The sequence below is a fragment of the Homo sapiens genome, chromosome 9, assembly GCF_000001405.40.
Source record: "Homo sapiens chromosome 9, GRCh38.p14 Primary Assembly".
Classification (NCBI taxonomy): Eukaryota; Metazoa; Chordata; class Mammalia; order Primates; family Hominidae; genus Homo; species Homo sapiens.
This window is the reverse complement of record NC_000009.12, coordinates 107,699,052-107,724,291: the sequence shown is the minus strand read 5'-3', so window position 1 is coordinate 107,724,291 and position 25,240 is coordinate 107,699,052. Positions and strand designations below refer to the sequence as shown.

At 44.6% G+C, this 25,240-nt stretch overlaps 1 long non-coding RNA gene across 2 annotated transcripts, besides 2 other annotated features; it reads left to right on the top strand.

The window, feature by feature from the left end:
• Positions 1-7,484: 7,484 nt before the first annotated feature.
• LOC105376207 (uncharacterized) lies at positions 7,485-19,903 on the top strand. 2 transcript variants are annotated; one of them, XR_930225.3, is made up of 4 exons: positions 7,485-7,814; positions 8,721-8,881; positions 17,292-17,797; positions 19,818-19,903. It is a non-coding gene; the product is annotated as an uncharacterized LOC105376207 (long non-coding RNA). The 2 variants fall into 2 exon arrangements; XR_930226.3 differs by lacking the exons at positions 17,292-17,797; positions 19,818-19,903 and adding an exon at positions 9,190-9,320.
• Positions 19,753-19,922: an enhancer, noted in NCBI's record as "experimental_104366 CRE fragment used in MPRA reporter constructs". NCBI's record gives its function as "activates a minimal promoter by MPRAs in K562 erythroleukemia cells, with activity observed for both the introgressed and non-introgressed 9:110466736 variant alleles {active_cell/tissue: K562}" and the evidence as "EXISTENCE:reporter gene assay evidence [ECO:0000049][PMID:34662402]".
• Positions 24,040-24,209: an enhancer, noted in NCBI's record as "experimental_104360 CRE fragment used in MPRA reporter constructs". NCBI's record gives its function as "activates a minimal promoter by MPRAs in K562 erythroleukemia cells, with activity observed for both the introgressed and non-introgressed 9:110462449 variant alleles {active_cell/tissue: K562}" and the evidence as "EXISTENCE:reporter gene assay evidence [ECO:0000049][PMID:34662402]".

The window sequence follows — 25,240 nt, the reverse complement described above, 5'->3', positions numbered from 1 at the left end:
GGTTTGCTTTGCATGTTAAGAGTATTAATGGTCATCAGAAGGTAGACTTTCTTGTGGGAATGTCAGTAGTCAAGAATACCACCTAATGAATTGGACAAAATTTTCAAACCATAATAGATACTTGACAGTATTGTCGATTTGGTTTGCTCTGACTTGGTATGAGGACCTCAAGTTGTACATCATGGTGCTGACAGAATCTGGTTTTAAGCCTCTCAACTATAAGGCTCTCTTAACCAGATGTCCATAACTGCTACCCAAAAGAGCTAATGCTCTGAGAAATGTGGCCAAATCTAACTGCCTTGTCATCGCTACCATTCATATTCCCACTCTACCCTAAACAAGCTTGCAAATCTGCCATGGCCAGCCGACTGTGGTAGCTCACACCTATAATCTTAGCATTTTGGGAGGCCAACCTAGGAAGACCGCCTAAGTCCAGGAGTTCAAGACCAGCCTGGGCAACATTGTGAGACCCCATCTCTTAAATTTTTTTAAAAATTAACCGGGCCTGGTAGCATATGCCTGTGGTCCCAGCTACTTGGGAGGCTGAGGCAGAAGGTTCACTTGAGCCTGGGAGGTCAAGGCTATAGTGAGTCTTAATCACACACACTACTGCAATCCAGCCTGGGCAACAGAATGAGACATTATCAAAAAAAAAAAAAAAAAAAAGAAAGAAAGAAAGAAAGAGAGAGAAAGAAAGAAAGAGAAAAAAAAATTTGCCATGGCCATTCATACTCCTTAGACTGGTACTCATGGCCCTTCATAACCTGGCCCCCCCCAATCTTCCTATTCAGTCTAATCTCTAATTTCTCCTCCTTCCCTGGACTTTATTCGGTAGCAGCATTGATAGAACAGCAGAAGGAACAAACAATCTCCAAATCACAGTGATCTAAGCAATAAACTTTTCCAGCTCACATTAGAGTCCTCTGGGTCTCTATTCCACACAGTCATTCAGGGGCCCTGGCTCCATCCAATTTTTGGTTCTATCATCTTCGTCTTTGGAGTTCTCTTCATTAGGCCAAAGGATGGGGAAATACAGTGTGGGAGATTGCACACATTTCACTGGCCAGAACTTAGTCACGTGGTCCTGCCAAACTACGAGAGGGAATGGGAAGTATAGTCTAACCATATATCTAAGAGGAAAACGGAAAGGGGATTGGTGAGCACACACATTGTCCCTGCCACACACACTAAGTAGTTTGACATCTCCAAACAGCTTTATTTCATGTCCCTCTATGAGGAATTATAAGCATTCACCTCTGGCCTCATCCCTATATTCCCAACTCTTCCAACCCAGGTCAATGCCATTGTCAGCATGAGAACTTCTATTCTTTTTTCTTTAGAAGCTCACCACATCCTCCTACACCTGAGCAGCCTGTTGCCTCCTCCTCTACCCTTTCCCCCGTCACTCACGCCATCACCAACTCTCACCACGGTACACGACAGCGCTCTCTTGACGCTTCTGCCTCCCTGACTAGACTGAGAACTCTAAGAGTAGGCTTATTCCTGCGTGTGCCTCCAGCCTCTAGCACTGTGCCCAAGATATGTTTGGCATTCTGAAAATATAGCTGAATTATGGAAAGAGAGTGAAAGACATGGGTTATCAACAATACATGACATGGAGTCCATGATGATGGAAGCCTCGTCTGGATCCTCTATTCTGAGACCTTTTTAGAATAACCTCAAGAGACTGTCATTTAATGGAGACCTCTGAAAAAGTGTCTTGAAAAAGAAGTAGGGGCCAGGAGTGGTGGCTCACACCTGTAATCCCAGCACTTTGGGAGGCAGAACAGGGCAGATCACAAAGTCAGGAGATCAAGACCATCCTGGCCAACATGGTGAAACCCCGTCTCTATTAAAAATACAAGAATTAGCTGGGCGTGGTGGTGTGCACCTATAGTCCCAGCTACTCGGGAGGCTGAGGCAGGAGAATTGCTTGAACCCAGGAGGCAGAGACTGCAGTGAGCCGAGATCGCACCACTGCACTCCAGCCTGGACAACAGAGTAAGATTCCATCAATAAAAAAAAAGAAGGAGGAGGAGGAGAAGGAGAAAGAGAAGGAGAAGGAGGAGAAGGAGGAGGAGGAAGGGGAGTGAAGAGGAGGGGGGGAAGAGGAGGAGGAGGAGGAAGAGAAGGAGAAAGAGGGAGAGGGAGAAGGAGAAGAAGAAGAAAAAGCCCACCATCACAAGTTTTTGGGAGAAGTGTCCTGTCAACGGCCACTGGCTGGTGTGCTTCAAGGACAATCTTGTGCAAATGGCTGAAGGACCCCGAGAGTCTGGGGAGGTCAACAGCACCTAATGGGAAGAGATAAAGCACTAATTGGCAGGGGATGAGAGGAGCTAAGTGCTTGAGACATGCAAAGTCACACCCTCAGGGGAAGAAGACGGATGTGGCATGGCACTCCCTGAAACAGAAGCATGAGTATGAATCTCAGTCCACAAACTCAGATGGGAGTGAACGAGCATAGTAACTTTACACAAATCAACTTAACTTTGATCCTGAGCTCTTTCCTACCAAAATAGAAGAAATTCAATCCTACTTTGGATCTCTCCTTCTCCCAAGGTTGCGTCAGTGACTCCAGGGTGTCACCTAGTATTAAGGTGTTCAGGAAGGCTCTCTATGGTTATAAGTGGTTTGTCCAAAGCAATTTCTCCTCTGACCACCCCGACCCCTGCCACTGTCCAGTCCACATGACCCCTTTGAGCCTGACACCCTGATATGTGACACAAGCTTCTCTGGATAGGGGAGCTCCACATGTGTTGCCAGCCTCCTGTGTGAACCAAGTAGCTTTTCCCCCTAGGGTCTTACCATATCCCAGGGTGCAGGTCTTGCCATCAGGATGCAGGTCCCTTTGCTCAAAGAGTCCCTAGAGGCCAGGAGCGGTGGCTCACACCTGTTATCCTAGTCCTTTGGGAGGGCAAGGTGGGCGGATCACCTGTGGTCAGGAGTTCGAGACCAGCCTGGCCAACATGGTGAAACCCTGTCTCTACTAAAAATACAAAAATAAGTCGGGTATGGTGGCGCATGCCTGTAATCCCAGCTACTTGGGAGACTGAGGAAGGAGAATCACTTGAACCCAGGAGGCAGAGGTTGCAGTAATCACAAGATTGTACCACTGCACTCCAGCCTGGGTGACAGAGTGAGACTCTGTCTCAAAAAATAAATAAATAAAAATAAAAGAAAAAGAGTTCCTAGAGACATCCTTCTCTCCCCATATCCTAAGTGAATCTCTCTTTCATTTGAGGGATGCTTCTTCTCTCAAACCCTGTATTCCTTGGCTGTACCAGAGGACTGCCTGCAACTGTCAGGGTAAGCCTTTTTTTCCAGCAGTGTGTTCACCTGCCTCTGGCTTAAAAAAATCAAGCTGAATTAATTGCCAAAATTTTAGACCAGGACATTTCACACAGACATCTTTGGAAAGTTATAAGATCTGGTATCGCTGGTACCTTCAGATACAGTATGCACACATCAGTTTGCCCCAACTCCTCCACGATTATTTATTATGTTTGTACCCAGCCTGTTTCCTCTGTGTTTTGCTGACATTTTACCTACCTGAACCCTGCAGGACTTTGGTCTTTCAGCACTTAGCTTAGGCCACAAACCTCCAATCACAAGCCTCCTACTATAAACTTCTGAGCTAAGGAAGCACAGACCTTCTGCATACTTGAATGGAGGAAAATGAAAGATAAAGGAAAAGAGAAAAATCCAGGCAGATAAAAACAAATGTTTTCAATTACCTTGCCTGAGAAGCATTAACTAGGATCCAGTGAGGGGCACAAAAACATGCCTCAGGGATTCTCACATCTGTCATCTCACATCTCTCACCCATGCTTTGAGTGAGAACGTCATTCATAGGCCATTCCCCCTTAGAATCCTTAAATCCCCCTTAGAGCTGGATCTCTAACGACAACTGAGCCACTAAATGTAATGAGCTCATTGGTAGTGAAGCCCATGGGTAGTAGAAAGACTTTACAGGGTGTTGTCATGGGGTTCTTGGTGTCTATGAAGTGCTAGGATAGGGACTGCACACAATCGGTACCCAATCAACAGGAGCTATTACTACTTTAAAAGTCAGAATAGCAGGCCGGGTGCGGTGGCTCACACCTGTAATCCCAGCACTTTGGGAGGCCGAGATGGGTAGATCACCTGAGGTCAGGAGTTCGAGACCAGCCTGGCCAACATGGTGAAACCCTGTCTCCAATAAAAATACAAAAATTAGCTGGGTGTGGTGGCATGCACCTGTAGTCCCAGCTACTTGGGAGGCTGAAGTATGAGAATTGCTTGAACCCAGAAGGCAGGGGCTGTAGTGAGCCAAGATCATGCTACTGCACTCCAGCCTGGACAACAGAGAAAGACCCTATCTCAAAAAAAATAAATAAAAATAAAAACGCCCATAGCCTCCTTTAATTCTCACTATAACCCTGAGTAAGCAGCAGAGATATCCTTGGGTTAGAGATGGAGAAACAAGCCTCAGGAGACAAAGTTAACTTGTCCGAGGTTCCAAAGTTTGAGAGAAGCAGAGAGAAGATTTGGGTCAGATAGTGAAGTTGGAACTCTGTACTGTATCAGAAAGAACCAGTGACCACAGTGGGCTTGGGGTTCCCAGATATTCTAAATGGGGGTTGGCACCAGCCAGGGAGCCCTTGGCACCCTGCAAAGAGAGCATTCAATACAGGAGAGGCAGCCACAAGCAGCCTGGAGTGACCGGTGAAGAGCACAGACTACAGCTGGAGGGCTGAGGTTTAACTCTTCGTTCTGCCTGTTTCTGCCTGTGTGACATGGGGCAAGTTCTTTAACGTCCCTGTGCCTCAGTTTCCCTACCTGTGAAATGGGGATAGTAACAGTATCACCTTCATAGAGTTATCATTTTTTTTTTTGAGATGGAGTCTCACACTGTCACCCGGGATGGAGTGCAGTGGCGCAATCTCAGCTCACAGCAACCTCCACCTCCTGGGTTCAAGCGATTCTCCTGCCTCAGCCTCCCAAGTAGCTTGGATTACAGGTTCCCACCACCATACCTGGCTAATTTTTTGTATTTTTAGTAGAGATGGGATTTCACCATGTTGCCAAGACTGGTCTCAAACTCCTGACCTTATGATCTGCCTCCTCCCAACCTCAGCCTCCCAAAGTGCTGGGATTACAGGTGTGAGCCACCACACCCAGCTAGAGTTATCATTTTGAAGGAGTTGGTGTTTGCAAAGCACTAAGTACAGTGCCTGGTACATAGTAAGTTCTGTATGATTGTTAAATATGTGACCTTGTGTCACATCATCTGGCAAGCCCACACCTTCACACCTGGGTCATGTTGCTCTGTGCCATTATGATGCTCAACTCCAGGTATCAGGCCTGGTGCTCTGTCAGCTTTGGGACACAGGCTGTCTCTGGAGCGTTTCCCTCTGCAAAGCCCCTGTGTCCAGGACTCCTCTTCACCATGCTCCTCCCATTCTTCTCTAAAGCATGGACCCCACTGAGGGCAGGCCCAAAGCTGGGGCTGACTCTTGTTATTAATTCTAATGCAGCATTCAGTTCCAATTACCCCTTTTTGCGACTTGAGTGGAGCAGGACTCACTTAGCAAACAAGAAGCACAGGAAATGTTTTTGTTTTTTGTTTGTTTGTTTTTAGAGACAGAGTCTCGCTCTGTCACCCAGGCTGGAGTACAGTGGCACGATCTTGGCTCACCACAACCTCTGCCTCTTGGGTTAAAGCGATTCTCCTGCCTCAGCCTCCCGAGTAGCTGGGACTATAGGCGTGCAATACCATGCCTGGCTAATTTTTGTATTTTTAGTAGAGACGGGGTTTCACTATGTTGGCCAGGCTGGTCTCGAACTCCTGACCTTGCGATCCGCCTGCCTCGGCCTCCCAAAGTGCTGGGATTACAAGCGTGAGCCACTGCGCCCAGCCAGAGGTGTTTTTTGACATATGGGAGATTCCGCAGCTGGAGAGACATTGCGAGAGGCTAGTTAGGAGGCAGGGGAGAAGGTGCAGGATTTCTTAGGCTGACATGGGGCATCCACGCAAGCATCAGGGGGATGTGAGAATGGACTTACAGCACAAGAAGTGCAGCGGGGAACAGCACGGCGCTGGTGGGCATGATGGGGAGCACAGTCTTCTGAAAGAAGACAAAACTGCCATGGGAACAAAAGACTCTTTGCAGAGGTGTCAAAGCCTGAAAGACATAGGCAGGTGTCTGACTTCCAAGCCAGGGTAGACCCAGGAGCTGGCAACCATAGGGACTATGGGGATAGAGGGCACTCTCTGCCTGTCCCCAGCCTTCCCATCTACTCTGGTGCACTAGTGGTTTAGACACTTAGAGCAAGGTTTTGAACATCAAGTTCACATAGACAATACTTAAGACGCAGAGCCTTCATGCGCTAGCTCTGTGACCCTAAGCAGGTAGTCTCTGGCCTTAAAGAATTGCTGTGAAGGTTCAGTCAATTCATCTAAGTTAAGCTCTTGGCAGCACTGATCAAGTTAAACATAAACTATTATAGTTATTGCTCTGGTGAGGGCCTCAGATGTGGGGCTTATCTTCTGATTTCCTTACCTCAGCCAGCTGAGCTTCCTGCCTCTGGTTTTCTCTACTTCCAGTGGTTTCTCTGGGCGGTAGACTCGCTGCCCTCTCTAACCTGGTCACAGGGCTCCTCTGCCTACAGTCTTAGAGTGGCTTCTGGAAGATACTGCATCTTGGCAAGCCCTTGTGTCTACTGCTGTCTCCGCAGGGAGCACCAGACTTCCTGATGAACCCCAACTCATCCTTCTGAGCCAGTTCTAAGTTCTCTGCCTCCTCCAAACCTTCAGTGATGGCTCTTTGTGATGTACTAGAATCAGCCAGTACCTGCCAGCCCAGCACATACCTTGATTAATGCATTGATCACACTCCCCTACCATTATCCCCTTCCAGTTTGGTTCTTACTACATCATTATCTCCTTTCAGACAGTATATTATGACCTTTATGCACTGGGCCTTCACATCTCCAGCACTGGGCCCTTTCATCTCCAGCGCTGGGCCCTTTCATCTCCAGCACTGGGCCTTTACATCTCCAGCGCTGGACCTTTACTTGTCCAGCACTGGGCCTTTACATCTCCAGTGCTGGGCCCTTACATCTCCAGAGCTGGGCCCTTTCATCTCCAGCGCTGGGCCCTTTCATCTCCAGCGCCGGGCCCTTAACATCTCCAGCGCCGGGCCCTTTCATCTCCAGCGCCGGGCCCTTACATCTCCAGCGCCGGGCCCTTAACATCTCCAGCGCCGGGCTCTTTCATCTCCAGCGCCGGGCCCTTACATCTCCAGCGCCGGGCCCTTACATCTCCAGCGCCGGGCCCTTTCATCTCCAGCGCCGGGCCCTTTCATCTCCAGCGCCGGGCCCTTAACATCTCCAGCGCCGGGCCCTTTCATCTCCAGCGCCGGGCCCTTAACATCTCCAGCGCCGGGCCCTTAACATCTCCAGCGCCGGGCCCTTAACATCTCCAGCGCCGGGCCCTTAACATCTCCAGCGCCGGGCCCTTTCATCTCCAGCGCCGGGCCTTTACATCTCCAGCGCCGGGCCTTTACATCTCCAGAGCTGGGCCTTTACATCTCCAGGGCTGGGCCCTTAAATCTCCAGCACTGGGCCTTTATATCTCCAGCGCTGGGCCCTTCACAACTCCAGCGCTGGGCCCTTCACATCTCCAGCGCTGGGCCCTTCACGTCTCCAGCGCTGGGTCCTTCACATCTCCAGCACTGGGCCTTCACATCTCCAGGGCTGGGCCCTTAAATCTCCAGCACTGGGCCTTTATATCTCCAGCAGCAATATAAAGCCGAGGACCCAGCAAGTGTTCAGTGAGTATTAGTTCAATGAATGCACGAGTGAAGGAATTACTAAATGAATGAATGAGTGAATGGCTTACTACTTGGCTTCTCCCTAAATTCAGCCACCTTTCCGGCTCCACAAGGATTGCCAGTTTTTCGTGTAGCCGAGACACAGGGCTTGACTTTTGGGGGTCTTGGCTGCACCTTACCCTAAAGACTATGGAACTCTCATCATTTCTTAGTGATGCTGGTGAATTTCCATTGTTTTTGTCCCTAAAAAAATAATCTATAAAAGAGAAGTGGTCAATAAGATTGTATTTGGGACTATGGTATCCAATTTCTTTGCAGTTAGAGAGCAGAATGAGTTGTTTTTCAAAAGTCGGAAATGGCCTTTAGACATTAGAAGAAGGTCCCCCAAGGAGTGACTTTCCTGTTCCCAAAGGCACTTGCCCCCAACAGGGCTGCATGATGCCGTCTGTTTGTGGCCCAAAGCTGCAGCTGCAAACCTTTGATTGTCTCTCCAAACAGCTGCCTGACCATCCGGAGAGAAGGCAAAGCCAAGGCTTTGTACTTTGTGTCATGTGGATGAGAGCCTGTGTCCCCCCTGGCCTGGCTGGGCAGGTCATCTGTCTCCAGCATGGAGTGGTGTTTGGTGTGGGAATACAAGCAGCAGAAGCCAAAACAAAAGAAATTATCACCTACTCGGTGCTGAGGCCCTCACCATGTGCTGGTCACTTTATATTTGTGATCATACTTTACCTTCTCAAGTAGAAGGGGTATCTGATAAGATAGAGGGTCAAATCTCCATGTGTCAGATGAGAAAATTACAGCTCTTTAAGGAAGTTGCCTGAAGCCTCACAAGTAAATAATGAGCACACGATTTGAACCCACACCACTCTAGCTCTGAATCCTACATTCTTGGTTCTTTCCTTGCAGCCTCTGGAGAATTTGATGAATTCTATGCATCTGAAAGGCCTCCGATGCTTAAGACCTTTTTTTTCTTTTCAAGTCTCGAACATTTATTGAACACGTATATGTGCCAAGCGCTATTCTCAAACTGCCCCATGAGGAATGGACCACAGAGCTCCATTTTACAGGTGAGAAAACTTACTAGCCAGATGAAAGAAGATGCTTTCCTGGAAAAATGACCTCTGCTAGGCTGGAGCACAAGCAAATCTCTGACCCCAAGGAAGGAGAAAGAGCAAAGACAGAGCTAGTTCACAACACACATGTTTTTGTCTCCTTCTCACCAGCTTGTCTTATCTGCCCACACTGCGGCAGTCAGGTCTGGAGACTGCAGAACACTGGAGAAGGCTTTTTGTCTGCCTTCTCCAAATCCTTCCCCCATGACTAATAATTCTTGAGGCACCCCAAGAAGGTAAATATTGTTCTCCCATTTTTCCAGATGGGGAAACTGAGATGGGAGGATGAGCCTGAGACCACACAGGAAGCAAAGCCTACAGCTTCCAAGATGAAGCATGGAATTCCAGACTGAGGGGCTTTACAAGTTCATCTCTCTCCCTACATCCAACTCAGTCTGCTCCTACAACAGATCCCACTGCCAGAGAGACAGTAAACAGGCACTTTTACTTACCACAAAGAGAGGCATGGACCTTACTTTGGTGAAGCAACTGGGGGCTCTTCGTAGACAGTTTGGATTATAATCTTTTTTTTTTTGCTTTTGTTTTTGTTTTCGTTTTTGAGACGGAGTCTTGCTCTGTCACCCAGGCTGGAGTGCAGTGGCTTGATCTCAGCTCACTGCAACCTCTGCCTCCTGAGTTCAAGCGATTCTCCTGCCTCAGCCTCCCGAGTAGCTGGGATTAGAGGTGTCTGCCACCATGCCTGGCTAAATTTTTATTATTTTATTTTATTTTATTTTATTTTGAGACGGAGTCTCCCTCTGTTGCCAGGCTGGAGTGCAGTGGCACCATCTCAGCTCACTGCAACCTCTGTCTCCCGGGTTCAAACGATTCTCCTGCCTCAGCCTCCAGAGTAGCTGGGACTACAAGCACACACCGCCATGCCCAGTTAATTTTTGTATTTTTAGTAGAGACAGAGTTTCACCTGTTGGCCAGGATGGTCTCGATCTCTTGACCTCGTGATCCACCCACCTCAGCCTCCCAGAGTAATTTTGTATTTTTAGTAGAGTTGAGGTTTGGCCATGTTGGCCAGGCTGGTCTCAAACTCCTGACCTCAGGTGATTCACCCACCTCAGCCTCCCAAAGTGCTGGGATTACAGGCGTGAGCCACCGCACACGGCCTGGATTGTAATCTGTAGAGTTGTGTGAGGTAGGATTGAGGTTGAGAGTAAGGATGCGCAGGAAGATTGCAGAGCTGAGGCCGTGAGCAGCTCCTTATTCTCCATCCAAGGGGAGACTATAGACCTTCATACGTGAAGGGCTTCTTTGACAAAAGTAAATTTTCAAAATCCAAACCTCACCAAGCAACTCCCATTTAAAAAATCCTGTAGGCTTGGGCGCAGTGGCTCACGCCTGTAATCCCAGCACTTTGGGAGGCCGAGGCGGGAGGATCACCTGATGTCAGGAGTTCAAGACTAGCCTGCCAACATGGCAAAACCCCATCTCTACTAAAAATACAAAAATTAGCTGGGCGTAGTGGCAGGCACCTGTAATCCCAACTACTCAGGAGGCTGAGGCAGAAGAATTGCTTGAAATGGGAGGTGGAGGTTGCAGTGAGCTGAGATCACGCCATTGCTCTCCAGTCTGGGCAACAAGAGCAAAACGTCATCTCAAAAAAAAAAAAAAAAAAAAAAAAAAAAGAAAGGAAATCCTGTAGGGCTGCAGCTCACTCCAGTTACCCACAGGATTATGCCTGAGCAATGCAACCAGACCCCCCAGTCTCCCTTGCCAACTGCCTCAGCCTCCCTCCCTCTACTCCTCCACCAGAACACTGCCTTCAATCAGGACAAATGGCTCGCCCACCTTGACACCCTCCAGGCTGTGAAGTGACCTGGTATCTTTGCTGATGCTATTCTCATCACGGAATTCATAGCCTCCCTTCTCCAACTGGAGGATGTGTCATCAAGGCTCAAGACTGACGCTTGAACAGCCCCTCATCCCATGACACCAACCTAATGCACCATCCGACCGCCATCATTACAACCCAACAGAATCCACATCCATCACTCTTGATGCTTTTCACACACACAGGGTCTCTCCACTGTGGCATTTAACACTGTAATTGTTACTTCATTGGCCAATCTCCCTAGACTGTAAGTCCTTAGAGGCAGAGTGACTAGATCCAGTCAGATTCTAGATGTCTTTCACCAGCACAAGGTCCAGCACTGGCTCCGCTTAGTGAGCCTGCTAAATGGTTGGGCAAATGGTCCTTTTCTCATGGGTAAACAGAGATCAAGGATACTTCCCTCTCTGTATGATGCCCACTTTAAGGATCTCTCTGTCCTATTTCTTACAACTGTATATGAATCTACAATTATCTCAAAAATTTTAATAAATTTAATCTAACATTAAGTTAATTTAAATGTAATTAATGAAAGGAGTCCTGTACATTGGTGCCCGCTCTCCTGTGAAGCCCTGATATATTTCTGTTGCAGGAAAAAGAGATCCCCACACCCCACATCATGCCCTGACTGCTTATCCCCCAACTAAAACCTGAGACCCCTGAATCTGGACAAAGCATTCTCCTTGGAAGTGCTGACAGCTTGCATCGAGCTTGTATTTACCAGTTTTCATTTTACTTGCATTTTACCCAGTTTGATACTGATCCTGGGGGCCACTGTGTGTCCCGTGGTCAGGGCCAATCAGAAAGGCTGGTGGGTTCCTCCCTCCAGTTCTACCTGCTTCCACTTCTTCTCTTTCCCCGCAGCCTGTGAGTGAGATTTCAGCATGCCTTGTGGTTAATGTCTCAAAGGTTTCCTGAACACTGACTGTGAGTCATGCTATCTGACAACCACTAGGTGTTCAAAGAATAATAAGACACATTTCTCTCCCATGAGGGTCATACAGACTCATGTGGAAGAGGAAGGAGAGAGCAGGTGACTCCAGCAAATGGATATGGATCCATTCGTATTAGATTGGTGCAAAAGTAAGTGCAGTTTTTGCCATTCATTTGGCAAAAACCACAATTACTTTTGCACCAATTTATATATTTTACAAGATGCTATGAGAGGACAAGAGAAGGCAGGAGGACCTAAACCTGACTAAAGATGTCAGGGAAGCAAGTCTTAGAGCTGAGACTTGGAAGATATTCAAGGACTAGGCAAGGAGACAAAGTGAGGAAGGGCTTTTTAAGGAAAAGGATCAAAAGGGCAAAGACCTGGGTCAGCACGGCCATTTCTGGAACTCCCAGGATGCCGGTACAACTGGAGCATGAATTGTAAGAAATAACAGTTAAGAGAAAACATCGAGACAAAGGCAGGCAAGGGCCAGATCATGGACAACTGGGAGATGCCTTTATCAGGAGTTTGGATTTCAAACTTGAAAGTGAATGAGGAGAAGAAATTAATGGTGTAGCTCTTAGATTAAAAAAAAAAAAAACAAACATTATCTGGAGATGTTGGTAAATCAGTCTACATGATCCCATAAACAGCTGAATTTGACCTGAGTGCTGATTAACATAAGTCACATGATTTCTTATACTCTCCATACGTTGCTGGGAGGATATTGCTTAATAGAATTGCTCTTCTGGATTGCTGGGGCTTAAACATGTAGGAGACACAGGTGAATTGCTGTAGCTCCTTAGCTATAAACTCTCCAAATGGAGTAATGGGGTGACTCATGGTAAAAGCATTTCTGCCATGGAGCAGTCTCTTGATATTGCCCTCATCGCCAAGAAAAAGCTATGTCCTCATGGCACTCGGCCAGTATATCCGGGCATCTGTTCAGCAGATGCTCTTCCCTCACACGGGATGCAATTGGCTTCATTACTTCCTGGATCACTCTCTATTATGGGAACTGCGTGTAGGGGAAAGGACACACCTGTGTTCACATCCCAGGCCTACCACTTACCAACTGTTTGACCAATGGCAAGGAACTCCTGAGCCTCCGTTTCCCCATTTCTAACATGGGAATAAGCACCCTTACCTCAGAGTGTTGTTAAATGACATAATACATGGGAAGTGCCTAGCTAATTAGAGATTCTCAAACAGAGAGAGATGGGTGTTATTAGTGTTGGGGGCCAAGTGTTGTTTTCAGCTCAGATCTTCAAAGAGGTGGAGAGGGAAGTGCTGAGGATCTCAGAGTCAAGATCTCTCCTAACTGTGTGGCTATACATCATCTCAGGGCATGCAGTGCTGGGCCAAGGAGAAGCTGGCAAGTGCCTGATCTTCCTGGCATGAGCACCGCCTTCCTCTGACTGTTTGGCTCACCATTCATGGGGATGACTGCCCATGCCCAGGAGGACACTTTCATTGCTGCCAAGGACCTTGCCAAAGGACCTGAGTTTGAAAGACTGAAGGGCCATCCTGGGAAGACAATATTTGCACAAATCCGTTTAGAAGTCCAATATTTCAATCCAGCCATTTCAGTGAGGGACAGAAGGAACTATCTCCCAAATGCATGGCAAATAAACTCAACCCAGGAGGAAAAGCAGAGAAAGAAAATTAATGCATATCAAGTTACCTAAGAAAATTATTACATATCAATTACCATTTGCTTAGAATCTACTTTATGCCAAGTATTTCCACAGTATTTCATTGATTCATCATAGAAGCTCTTTGAGGTAGGTCATATTTCACAATTTTCATAGGCATGAAAACTGAGTCAATATACTCCTATACTTGTATATTTCCTATACAAGTTATTAAGAAAATATGTCCCATATCCCACAGCTATGATGCAATATAATTGCCTTAGGATTCTAAGAAGGCTCCATCGTAGCCCTAAATTAATTTTAAATCCTGATGTCAGGGGATGTTAAATACTTTACACAGGAAATATAGTGGAGCTACAAAGGTATTCTCAACAGACAGTGATTATTCCTGCCAATCAGGACTCAGATGCTCTTTCTAGACTTACAACAAAGAATGGCCACCCTGAAGCAGGACATATTTTTCCAGCATGAGTGTAGCCCAGTATGTTTGATTAGAAAAAGGCAGCTCCCACCTTCATTGTCATTGCAAGCAGTGGACACAGGCAGCACTTTAGAAGGCACATTAGAGGCAAAATTCAGCATCCACAGAAATCAAGTGATAAAGATGAAGCATTTTCAGCATCTCCTTTGAGTAAGTTCCTAAGAAAAGACTACGTATTGTCTATGATGAGTGATAGACTCTGAAGCAAGAAGTATGTGCCTTGGTATCCACTGCCTATGATAAGATGGCATGGAGCATAGCAGAGAACTCCTGGGAGAAGAGTCGCAGTGGGATCAGAGCTGACTCCCACACTGGGTAAGCTCCAGCTACCGAAGGGCAGAGGAGAGAGATTCTAACATCAGTGCCTAATAGGTAGTCCTTGTAATTCCTTGACTCTATATTCATGTAGAAACTCTATCATCCTCCTTAATATCATCCTCGTTATTATCATTATCATTACAGAGTATGGACTCAGTCTCCCAATCATTATCAACAAATCCTCCAGTCACCTTCCTAAAGTCCTAAGTCAAAGAACTACTCTAGATACTAGTATAAAAGATTCCCAAGCTGGGCGCAGTGGCTCACACCTGAAATCCCAACACTTTGGGAGGCTGAGGTAGACGGATCACCTGAGGTCAGGAGTTCCAGATCAGCCTGGCCAATATGGTGAAACCCCAGCTCTACTAAAAAAATACAAAAATTAGCCGCGCATGGTGGTGCATGCCTGTAATCCCAGCTACTTGGGAGGCTGAGGCAGGAGACTTGCTTGAACCCGGGAGGCGGAGGTTGCAGTGAGCTGAGATCGTGCCATTACACTCCAGCCTGGGCAACAGAGCAAGACTCCCTCTCAAAAAAAAAAAAAAAAAAAAAAAAGATTCCAAGATTCCCAGCTTGGAAAGACTCTACCTGACTATGAAAATCAAGATTTTGGTGCCCTGTGCAAATAAAACCAGATACACAATTCTCCCAGAGACATGCTTTTTTGTCTCTGGCTATGTTGCATGTTACTCCAGGATTGTGCTGGCCTTTTCGAGTTGGGGCAGACATGGACCAGGTGCACTGCTCAGATCTCTCTTAGAGAAAGAACTTGCCATTGTGCTGCATGAGATAAGGTAGCTGATAGTGTCTTGCCATAACACCTTCAGGATGTACTCAGCTTTCAAGCCAGGACCACCTTCCTCCTGAGCATCCTCTAGCCAATGGCTAGTCCTCATGCCTGGCCATTTCTGCCTAATATGGGACTCCTTTAGCAGGCAGTCATTGTTCTGGAGCTCTCATTTGGGTTGGCAGAGACTTTGGGAGACCTGAATTGAGGTCTGAGGTTCTCCTTGTCATGGTCTGAAGGCTTTCCTTGCCCAATTCTGCTTCTCGTGCTTGTTATTTAACGCAAGTGACATTGCTCTCCCCAATAAACTGCTTATATTTCTAACTTCCTCTCATAAGCTGCTTCTCAGAGAACCCAATTGACAAACATATCTTATCTTAGTCTGACAGAAGAGAAGAACTCAAAAACTTTCTTTGCCTCTTTGGAGATTTGTCTGGGCAAAGGAGTGATCTGTGACTCCTGAGGCTTTTGAGAATGAGCTGCTACCATCATGAAAAGCATGCATATCTGTACATGAACTTCTTTGGTAATCTGGTGATACCTACAGACACCTTCTCAGATTTGGTCAGACCAAAGCCAGCAGGATTGGATTGAAGTTTGCCCAGTACCTGGAGTCATGCTCAAAGGACTTGTTTTTGTTTTTTGTGTGTGTGTGTGTTTTGTTGTTGTTGTTGTTTGAGACGGAGTCTCACTCTGTCGCCTACGCTGGAGTGCAGTGGCGTGATCTCGGCTCACTGCAAGCTCCGCCTCCAGGGTTCACGCCATTCTCCTGCCTCAGCCTCCTGAGTAGCTGGGACTACAGGTGCCCGCCACCATGCCAGCTAATTTTTTGTATTTTTTGTATTTTTTTTTTAGTAGAGATGAAGTTTCACCGTGTTAGCCAGGATGGTCTCGATCTCCTGACCTCATGATCCTCCCGCCTTGGCCTCCCAAAGTGCTAGTATCACAGGCGTGAGCCACTGCGCCCGGCCAAGGACTTGCAATCAATAGGATTGCATTCGGACAACAACCAGAGGGACTAAACACTTTGACATAGGAGTGGTGGCCTAAGTCACCAGTGGCATTTAGTCTGATAAAGAGAAATTTTGGAAGGAAAAGGACACAGAGATAAGGCTACTATGTAGAACAGGGGTTGGCAAAGATATCCTGTAAAGGATGATACAGTAAATATTTTTGGCTTTGTGGACAGATGACTCATCTGGTCTCTGTCACAGCCGTACACTCTGCCATTGTACACAAAAGCAGCCATAGAGGATACAGAGATGAATGGGTGTGGCTATGTTCCAATAAAACTTCATTTGCAAAAACTGGTAGGTGGTCAGATTTGACCAGTCGGCCATAGTTTGTTGACCTCTGATGCAGAAAAAGGAAAGTTGGAGGAAAACATTTACTTAGAATCTACTTTATCCCAAGCATTTACACAGTATTTCATTGATTCTTCATAGAAGCTCTTTGAGGTAGGTCATATTTCACAATTTTCATAGGCATGAAAACTGAGTCCATATACTCCTATACTTGTATACTTCCTATACAAGTTATTAAGAAAATATGCCCCAAATCCCACAGCTATGATGCAATAGCCTTAGGATTCTAAGAACTCTCTATCATAGTACTCCCTGGAGAACAGCGGGGGTAAAATCTACATCTGGCATGATTCACCACCCTAGTGATAACACATAGTACATCCGTAAGGGTCACCAAGTTCCGGACGCATCCTGAGAAATGTGAAGACTGTGATTCTAGCAACGAGGAGGAGACCTGGGTCACTGGGTTGAAAGATGTGATGAGGCAACATGTGATGCCCATTCTTGATGGAAACAAACCAGCAAAGGGTTTTTCTCATTGTTTTAAGTGCTTTTAATGAATTGATTCATTAACCACAGAGATATTTTCCACAGCACCACTTACTGCCGAACTTTCTGCCAAGAACAAGGCCAAAGGCAAAGATCTCCGGACAGCTGCAGCATCAGGGAAGATTGATGCAGTTATATCATCCCCCCCACCCCACCCAGGCAGAAGAACTGCTTCTCCCCCTCCCCTCTTCCCATCCCATTAACTTGAAATATATCCCTTGAAGGCTTCCCCATATTAAACTATCCAGCCAAACACCAGATAATGACTCCCTTCTCCACAGCCTGTCCACACTGCCATTATCACATCTTTTTCTCCGAAAGACCATCCCGACATTATTTATCACTGTACCCAGTACTCAGAGAATGCCTAATACACAGACTCACTCCATAGTGAGTTAAACTTCATTTAAATGTGCCTCATCCAAATGCATTCATCTGTGTTTCTTATTTAACCCCCATGGCAATCACTGAGCAAATTATCATCTCTTATTTTATAGATGAAAGAAACCAAGGCTTCAAAAGGAAGCTACACTGAAGCAGAAAGAACTAGTGGTACCCCTGGAAGCCACACCTGCTCTTCCTATGCTCCAGGGCTCTGTGCCATTCCTGCAGCTTGAGCCAGGAGGAATGTTTGCAAGGATACCAGCCATTTTGCCAATGTGCACAGTTTTTCTTTAGTCATTACTGGAGGAGACTGACTTTCTTCTGTTTCAAATATCTAAAGATCACTTTCAGAGCAAACTGAGAGTAAACTAACTGGATGGGCTAATCCTACCTTGGATCCTCCTCTGCCATTTCATTGTTAGAATCAATTTCTGCAGGAGTATTTCACATATTTTACTGTCAGTGTCTCTGCAAACCCAACACATTATGGAGGAGAGAGCAAGCCTCTGAAGCCAGACACACCTGAGATTAAATCCTGGTTCTGCCATTTTATTAGCCATGTGACTTTAAAAGGTTACTTAATCTCTCAGGGCCTTGATTTCCTCATCTGTAAAATTGGGTAAGAATGCCTACTTTGTTTTATTTGTTGTTGTTGTTTTGTCCGGTTTGGGGTGTTTGTTTGTTTGATAGAGACAGTGTCTTACTCTTGCCCAGGCTGGAGCGCACTGGCATGAGTATAGCTCACTGCAAAGATGCCTACTTTGTAGGCTTGTGGAATTAAGAAAAATAATGAGCCAGAAAAAAATATTGTTTAAATGTTTATATAGATGAAATATATAGATGACATATGATAGATAGATATAGAGATGATAAATGACGATGCTGATAGATAGATAGATAGATAGATAGATAGATAGATAGATAGATAGATGGCAGCATGTAACATTAAACTTATTTTGTAGCCTAAGAAATTGAATATTAAGAGTTTAAGAAAAGGAAGAATAATAATACCCTCCATAAACACCTGGCCTCTTTCTGGATGGGAATCTGAGACTGAGATATTAAAGAACTTGCCCAAGGCCACACAGCTAAAAATTGGCCAAGTCTCATTGCACATCCTGCACTTGCACAGTGCCTGGCATGCACTAGGCATTCAGTGAGCCTTTGCAGACTAATTAACTGAATGCATAAGACATGGCCTAAAAACTAGGATGTAATTCAAGAGAACAATTGTCTGGCCTTCTTCAAGCAGTGCCATTCTTGTTGTCTCTTATTTGGATGAGAAATGTTACTTGAGTTTTAGCGACCACAGTGGGAATTATCTCCACAGCCCTGAGAGCTAACTCAACCGATTGTCTACAACCTTCTCACAAAAGAGAGGCCAGGGCTCAAGAACACAGGAATTTTAACTGCTCCAATGACTAATCTTTAACAAGTGAGGTCAAGTTTTCTTCTTGCCTTGAGAATATTACAGAAATACATTTCCACATGGTGATATTCAATGTACCATCAGTTCTCATTTGTTTTAATGCTATAAAATTAGGTTTGGTTCTACAAACACGGAGAACCATGATTGCATAATAGAAAGAGCACTGGCTACAGAGTTAGGAGACATGTGTTCAAATTTCAGTTTCTCTGCACTCTGGGTGTGAATCTCAGCCTCTTTGCCTCTGTTTCCTCATGTATAAAATGGAAATAGTAATACTTGCTCCTCTCCATTACAGTAGAGAGGATTAAGCAGGATCATGTATATTAAAGTGTCTGGCTTAATGATTCACACATAGTAATTGCCTAATAAATATTTATTCATTTAATGGAATGTTCGTGCAGTGTCTGGCATATTCGAGATGCACAATAGGATCCTATCCAATTAGTTCAAATCTAGCCTTATACCTGAGTCCATAGAAGGTCCTTAATAGGTGTTTTCATTCACTCAATGGAATACTTACCCAATGGCTGGCATGGTAGTTGTTTAATGGGCATTCATTCATTCAGTCAAATTCTAGTGCAGTGCATACAATTTAGTCAGCACTCAATAAATGATGGCTGAATCCAAGTAGGAAAAATGGAAATTTGTTCATTTAATGAGATTTTGCAATCCCATAAATATTATATGTTGCTGCCAGTGCTTTACAAAGTGAATCAACCATTCCTGAAATGTTCTCAGCTTATGCTTATTAACAAACCATTGTAAACTATTTTTCAAACATACAGCATTCCACGAATGTGTCATAATAACATTGGCAATGCTAAGCACCCCCATGACCCCAAATAAGTGGCAGGAGTATACAATATATGAATTAATTTAGAATACAGAAAGGGATCCATCTTTACAAAAAGATATGCTGCTGCACAATTCCTTCTATGTGTGTCCAAAGCTCATCTTGACAGTTGTTCTGGCAGTTCATTGAGAACTTGGGCCCCAAGGGAAAAACCCCATGTGTAGGCAGAAACTATCAGGAATTAGAATTACATATATGATAATGTGTGCATATATGAGTCTGTGCATATATATATAATATTTTTAAATAAAGGATCAGTCTTTGAAAGTTTTGCTTTATTTAACTACTTTACAACAATAAAGCAGTCCCCTGGGAAAAAGGGGGAGTGGCTTTTAATAGTATAATTTCTCCTTTCAGAAGCCACATTCTCTAAAAGGACCAGCAAGCAACAATTTTAAAGAAAGGAGAGGCCAGGCACGGTGGCTCACGCCTGTAATCCCAGCACTCTGGGGGGCTGAGGCGGGCAGATCACCTGAGGTCAGGAGTTCGAGACCAGCCTGGCCAAAGTGGTGAAACCAGTCTCTACTAAAAATATAAAAATTAGCCAGATGTGGTGGCCCATCCTGTATTCCCAGCTACCTGGGAGGCTGAGGCAGGAGAATCACTTGAACCCAGGAGGCAGAGGTTGCAGTGAGCCGAGATCGTGCCACTGCACTCCAGCCTGAGTGACAGAGACTCTGTCTCAAAAAAAATAAATAAATAAAAGAAAGGAGACAGATATCCTTTCAACAGGCACCTGGTTTCTCCAGTTAATTGGAAGTCCAAGAGGGAGAGCTTAACTCTGCATGATTCCTTTATATAGCAGTTGACATTGAAGTTTGGTCCTGGAGAGTGGATGTGAGTTCTCCAGGCATTCCAAGTCTAAAAGGGAAAGTGGAATGTAAGATATGGCAAGGAGATTTGTATGGCTGGACATCAGGTGTGATTGACCCAGGGATGAGTAGCAACAAATGATGCTGAAGAGGTGGACTAGCTGGGAGACCTTTAATGCCATGGAATGGAGTTTAGACCTTACTCAGTGACATGTGAGGAATGTTCTATTTATATCTCATTTACAACACTTATCTTCATCTGTCTTATTTTAGACCTAATTGCTTATTGTTTTTTTTTTACTCTACTTCCTTCTTCTAGTCTGAAAATTCCTTGAGACCAGGATGTGTGTGTTTGATGCTGTTATTAATATCTTTGCATCTAGTTAAGCACATTACCCATAATAAGTACAAAACAAGTTCTAATGTAAATAAAATGCGGTGACACCCTTCCAGAAGTTAATATCCATTGCCTATTATCTAATCCTCCTTTATATACAATCAGGGTAGCAGTTAGGAATCAGCGCAGGAAGCAGAAGCCCCTCTCAGTATTTTAAACAAAGGACATTTAATACAGAAAATGAGGTGTTTATATAATCCTTGGAAGGTTAGAGGACCCATTCTAGAGGACTGCTGGTTCAGTGCACACCTCCAAAGCCAAGATCAGAGATCAGAACACCGTTGCTGCTGCTGCTACTGACTTAAACAACTGATGCCTCTCACACTCAAAAAGCCAGTGACTGCATGACACGCCATAAATTTGTGTCAGTCCACAGACACGCATATGTTTATAACCTCACTTGCCAGCAGCAATGACAACAGGACCATGGCTTCCATCTCACTTCCAACTTCCAAGGCTCCTGGGAGTTCATCTCATTGGTGGAATCTAATTTGCTTCCAAAACTCCAACTGCAAGGAAATCTGAGAAATGTAGTTATTTGCCTTGCAGGCTCTGTGGTAAAGAAAGGACCATACAAGCTGGTGGCAAAAGATGCCTGGTTCTAATCAAAGATATCCATACAGTCAAGATTGGTTCTGATTATTGCCTGCTTCATTCACAAAATATATTCTCTTTTTTACTTATTTATTTATTTTTATTTCTCTTTTTGAGACAGGGTTTCACTCTGTCACTCAAGCTGGAGGGGACTGGTGAGATCATGGCTCATGGTAACCTTGACCTCCTGGGCTCAAGCAATCCTCCTGCCTTAGCCTCCCAAATAGCTGGGACTAAAGGGGCATGCCACAATGCCTGGCTAATTTTTTTTAATTTTTGTACAGACAGGATCTCACTATGTTGCCCAGGCTGGTCTCGAACTCCTAGCCTCAAGAAATTCTCTTGCCTCAGCCTCCCAAAGTGCTGGAATTACAGGTGTGGGCCACACCACACCCAGCCCTAAATATATTCTCCTTTAAAAAATATTCTTTTAGCCTGGATAAAAGCTCCTAGGAGATAAAAGATGATTTTTAATTCATCAGCTTTATTGAGATATGATTGACAAATTGCCTTATTTTTTAACTGAAATGGTAAGCACTTGCTTTTTTCTCCTTCTCTATCCTCTTCCTCTTTCCTTCCTTTCCTTTTTCTTCCCTTTTCTTTCTGAAAAATTCAGTCCTAAACTATTAGTTAGGACAAAGCCATGTCTATGTTTGGCATGGAAAAGCCATGGTGGTTAACAGCAGGGTGTCAGAGCCTGAGCCTACAGAGGGGACACCTGGCACATGGTGCTATGTTTCTAGCAGGGTCAGGAGGGAGTTTGTATAGGGCACATTCTGGGGTGGGGTGTCAGTGCCTAAGCAGGGTGAGAAAGATGTCCATATGAGGGAGGAATGGCCCAAAGAGAGGGAGTTGGCCAGGCCTGGTGGCTCATGCTTGTAATCTCAGTGTGGTAAGAGGCTGAGGCGGGAGGATCACTTGAGGCCAGGAGTTCAAGATCAGGCTTGGCATCATAGTGAGATCCTATCTGTATAAAAAAAAAATAAAAATAAAAGAGAGGAAGTTAAAGCCTAAGAAAGGTGAGGCAAACATACATGTGTGGGGATGGGTGTCAGAGCCTGAGATAGGGGAAGACGACTTGCGTGCAGATGGGGGTAGTGGCAGAAAGGGAAGATAGGTTACCTTCAGGGGAATCAACTCATAAATATGACTGGGCGAGGTGGCTCATGCCTGTAATCCCAGCACTTTGAGAGGCCGAGGTGGGTAGATTGCTTGAATCCAGGAGTTCAAGAACAGCCTGGGCAACATGGCAAAACCCCATCTCTACAAAAAATTTTCAGTGTGTTGTGGCACGTGCCTGTCATCCCAGCTACTCAGGAGGCCGAGATGGGAGAATCACCTAAGCCTGGGAGGTTGAGGCTGCAGTGAGCCCTGATGGTGCCACTGCACTCAGACCTGGGTGACAGAGTAAGACCCTGTCTCAAAAAAATAAATAAATAAATAAGTAAATCTATTAAGGATAATGGAAGCTAGGTTTTACACAGTGGGACAAGGGAGTTATAAATATGGAAAAGGAGAAAACTAGAATGAATTGTATGGTGTTAGTCTGGAATTGGAACTACGTGTGTGAACTTACTATTTTCAGTACATATGTAGAAAGAAAGTATAGAAAGAACTATAGATATAAATGTAAGCCTCTGTGTGTGTGCGTGTGTGTGTGTGTTGTTTATTTGCTGACTCTGTCCACACCAAGGACCTGAGAACAGCAACACCCTGAAAGCAATGAGCACATCTAGCACCCAAATCTTAGCTTTCAAATAACATTTTGAACTAAAAGGAACCAGGGTTCCTTGGAGAAATGGCTGATTCCAAGAGTAGGGCAGGGAAAGAACAAGATGAGCCTGGAGCATCTTGTGCCAGAGAATGAGGAGGGACTCACAGAATGATGGGGACATGTCAAAAGGACACAGAGGCCGGATTGGAAGGACTCCCACTGGCCGAATCTGGCACACTTTAAACATCAAAATAGATCATGATCGCAATGGATTATAACTCACGGACAAAATAGGAAACCACAAGTCCATGCTGACAAACAACTTCAAAAGTGAAAGTGTGGTGGAGAACAGTCTGCATTATTTCAAAATTACCTCCCTACAAAATCACAACGGGGAAAAAGAGTGTAACTTTCCAGTGGATAAGCCTGGCAGATGTCACCTTAGGAAGTGAGTGTAGTGAGCATCATCAGTAATGGGACGAACTGGGATTCCACACCCTGCGATGGGAGGCAACGAGAACAGTGCCGCTTCTGCACTATCCCTGCCCAAGATGCATAACTGGAAAAGTATCATGAAGACACATCGGATAAACTCACACTGTGAGGTGTTCTACAAAATAGCTGCTCATGATCTTCCAAAGTGTCAAGGTCATGAAAATAGTCAAGGACTGAGAAACTGTTTCATGCTACAGGAGACTGAAGAGACATGACAACTAAGCACAATGATTCTAAGCAGGAGTCTTTCAGGACTGAAAAAACGTTATGAGGCTGTTGGTGAAACTTGAATGGGGTTTGAGAATTAAATAATCATATTGTATAGATGTTAACTTCCTGATTTTGATGGTTGCGTTATGGTTATATAGGAGAATATCCTTGCTTGTAGGAAATACTCACTAAGTATTCAGGGATCCTAAGCCATCAGACTGGTAACTTATTTCCAAATATTTTAAAAGGAAAAAAATTTCTTTGAATTGTACTTGCAACTCTTCTTTAAGTTTGTGAATATTGCAAAGTAAAATTTAATTTTTAAATATAAGTACCCAAATTTCAGGAAAACTCAAGTGTATAAAATCAATAACCAAAAACCTCACCAGTCTCACAGCTTCAAACAAAACTCCATTTAAACTATCCAAACAGATGAGAATCCTTCTTTCTTTTCACATTAGAGCTTGGAAATATAAAATGAAATTCTATTGATAAATTTTCTGAAACATGCAGTATCCCTGGAGGCTGCATTAAATATACATATCTCCAACCTTCCATTGTCTTATCATAATGGATGAAAGGAAGGCTTAGTTAAGAGTAAGAAGACCCAGGTCTGATTGTCATGTTTGCCACTTCTTAAATATGCTACTTTGGGCAACTGCTTAATCTCCCTAAGCTCTAGTTTCCTTAACTATAAATTAGAGATAATAATATTTACTTCACAGTGTTGTTCAGAGAATTTAATACAATAATGGGTGTGAACCTGCCCACATAATGATCAGCATAGGAGTACAAAGTTTTCTGTTTTGTTTTTAATTCACAACAATTTAATCTTATATAACCCAACAAGTTCCTCTGACCCTGACATAATTTCTCCTGCCTATAGCTAGACACATTTGCTATTTACTCATCCATTGTCACTCATTTTTGCACTTAATGTTTGACAAATTGTTATTGAGAGCCTACTATACAGAATACTGTGTTCCAAGTCAGAAATAATGAACTCCAAATTACCTTTTTTTCAATCCTGCAAAGAGGCAGACGCAATGAAAAACAATGCTTTACATACCGCTGTGAATTATGAATTTAAATCAGTTTAGTAATCCAACCAAGGGTGTGTTTTCATTTCATTCCCTCTCTCTTATTGTAGCTATTGAATTCACTCACTTCTCCATCACATACATATTTATTTTCCAATGAATTCTGAAAGATTTCCAAGGTAGAGCAAGAAACGGGGAATACAGCTGACGTCTGTCTCCCCGTGGGAGTTATGTCACTCCTTGATTTAATTCCTTCTGACATTTTCCCCATCATACTTTCTGCTCTTCATCAAAATACATCCCTCTCGAAAAACAAATGTGCTTATTGACTACCCATGACAATCTTGGAAATGGTTGCAACTGTTCATGTGTAGGATTAAAAAAAAAATTAAAACAAAACAAAACAAAAAAACCACAGGCAAACAAAATCTAGAGACCTGTGCCATAAGGTCAGATGAGCACGAAAGGGTTGGTTAGTCCATCCAAAGTCTCAGGGGTTTAGGCAAGCTAGAGGGATT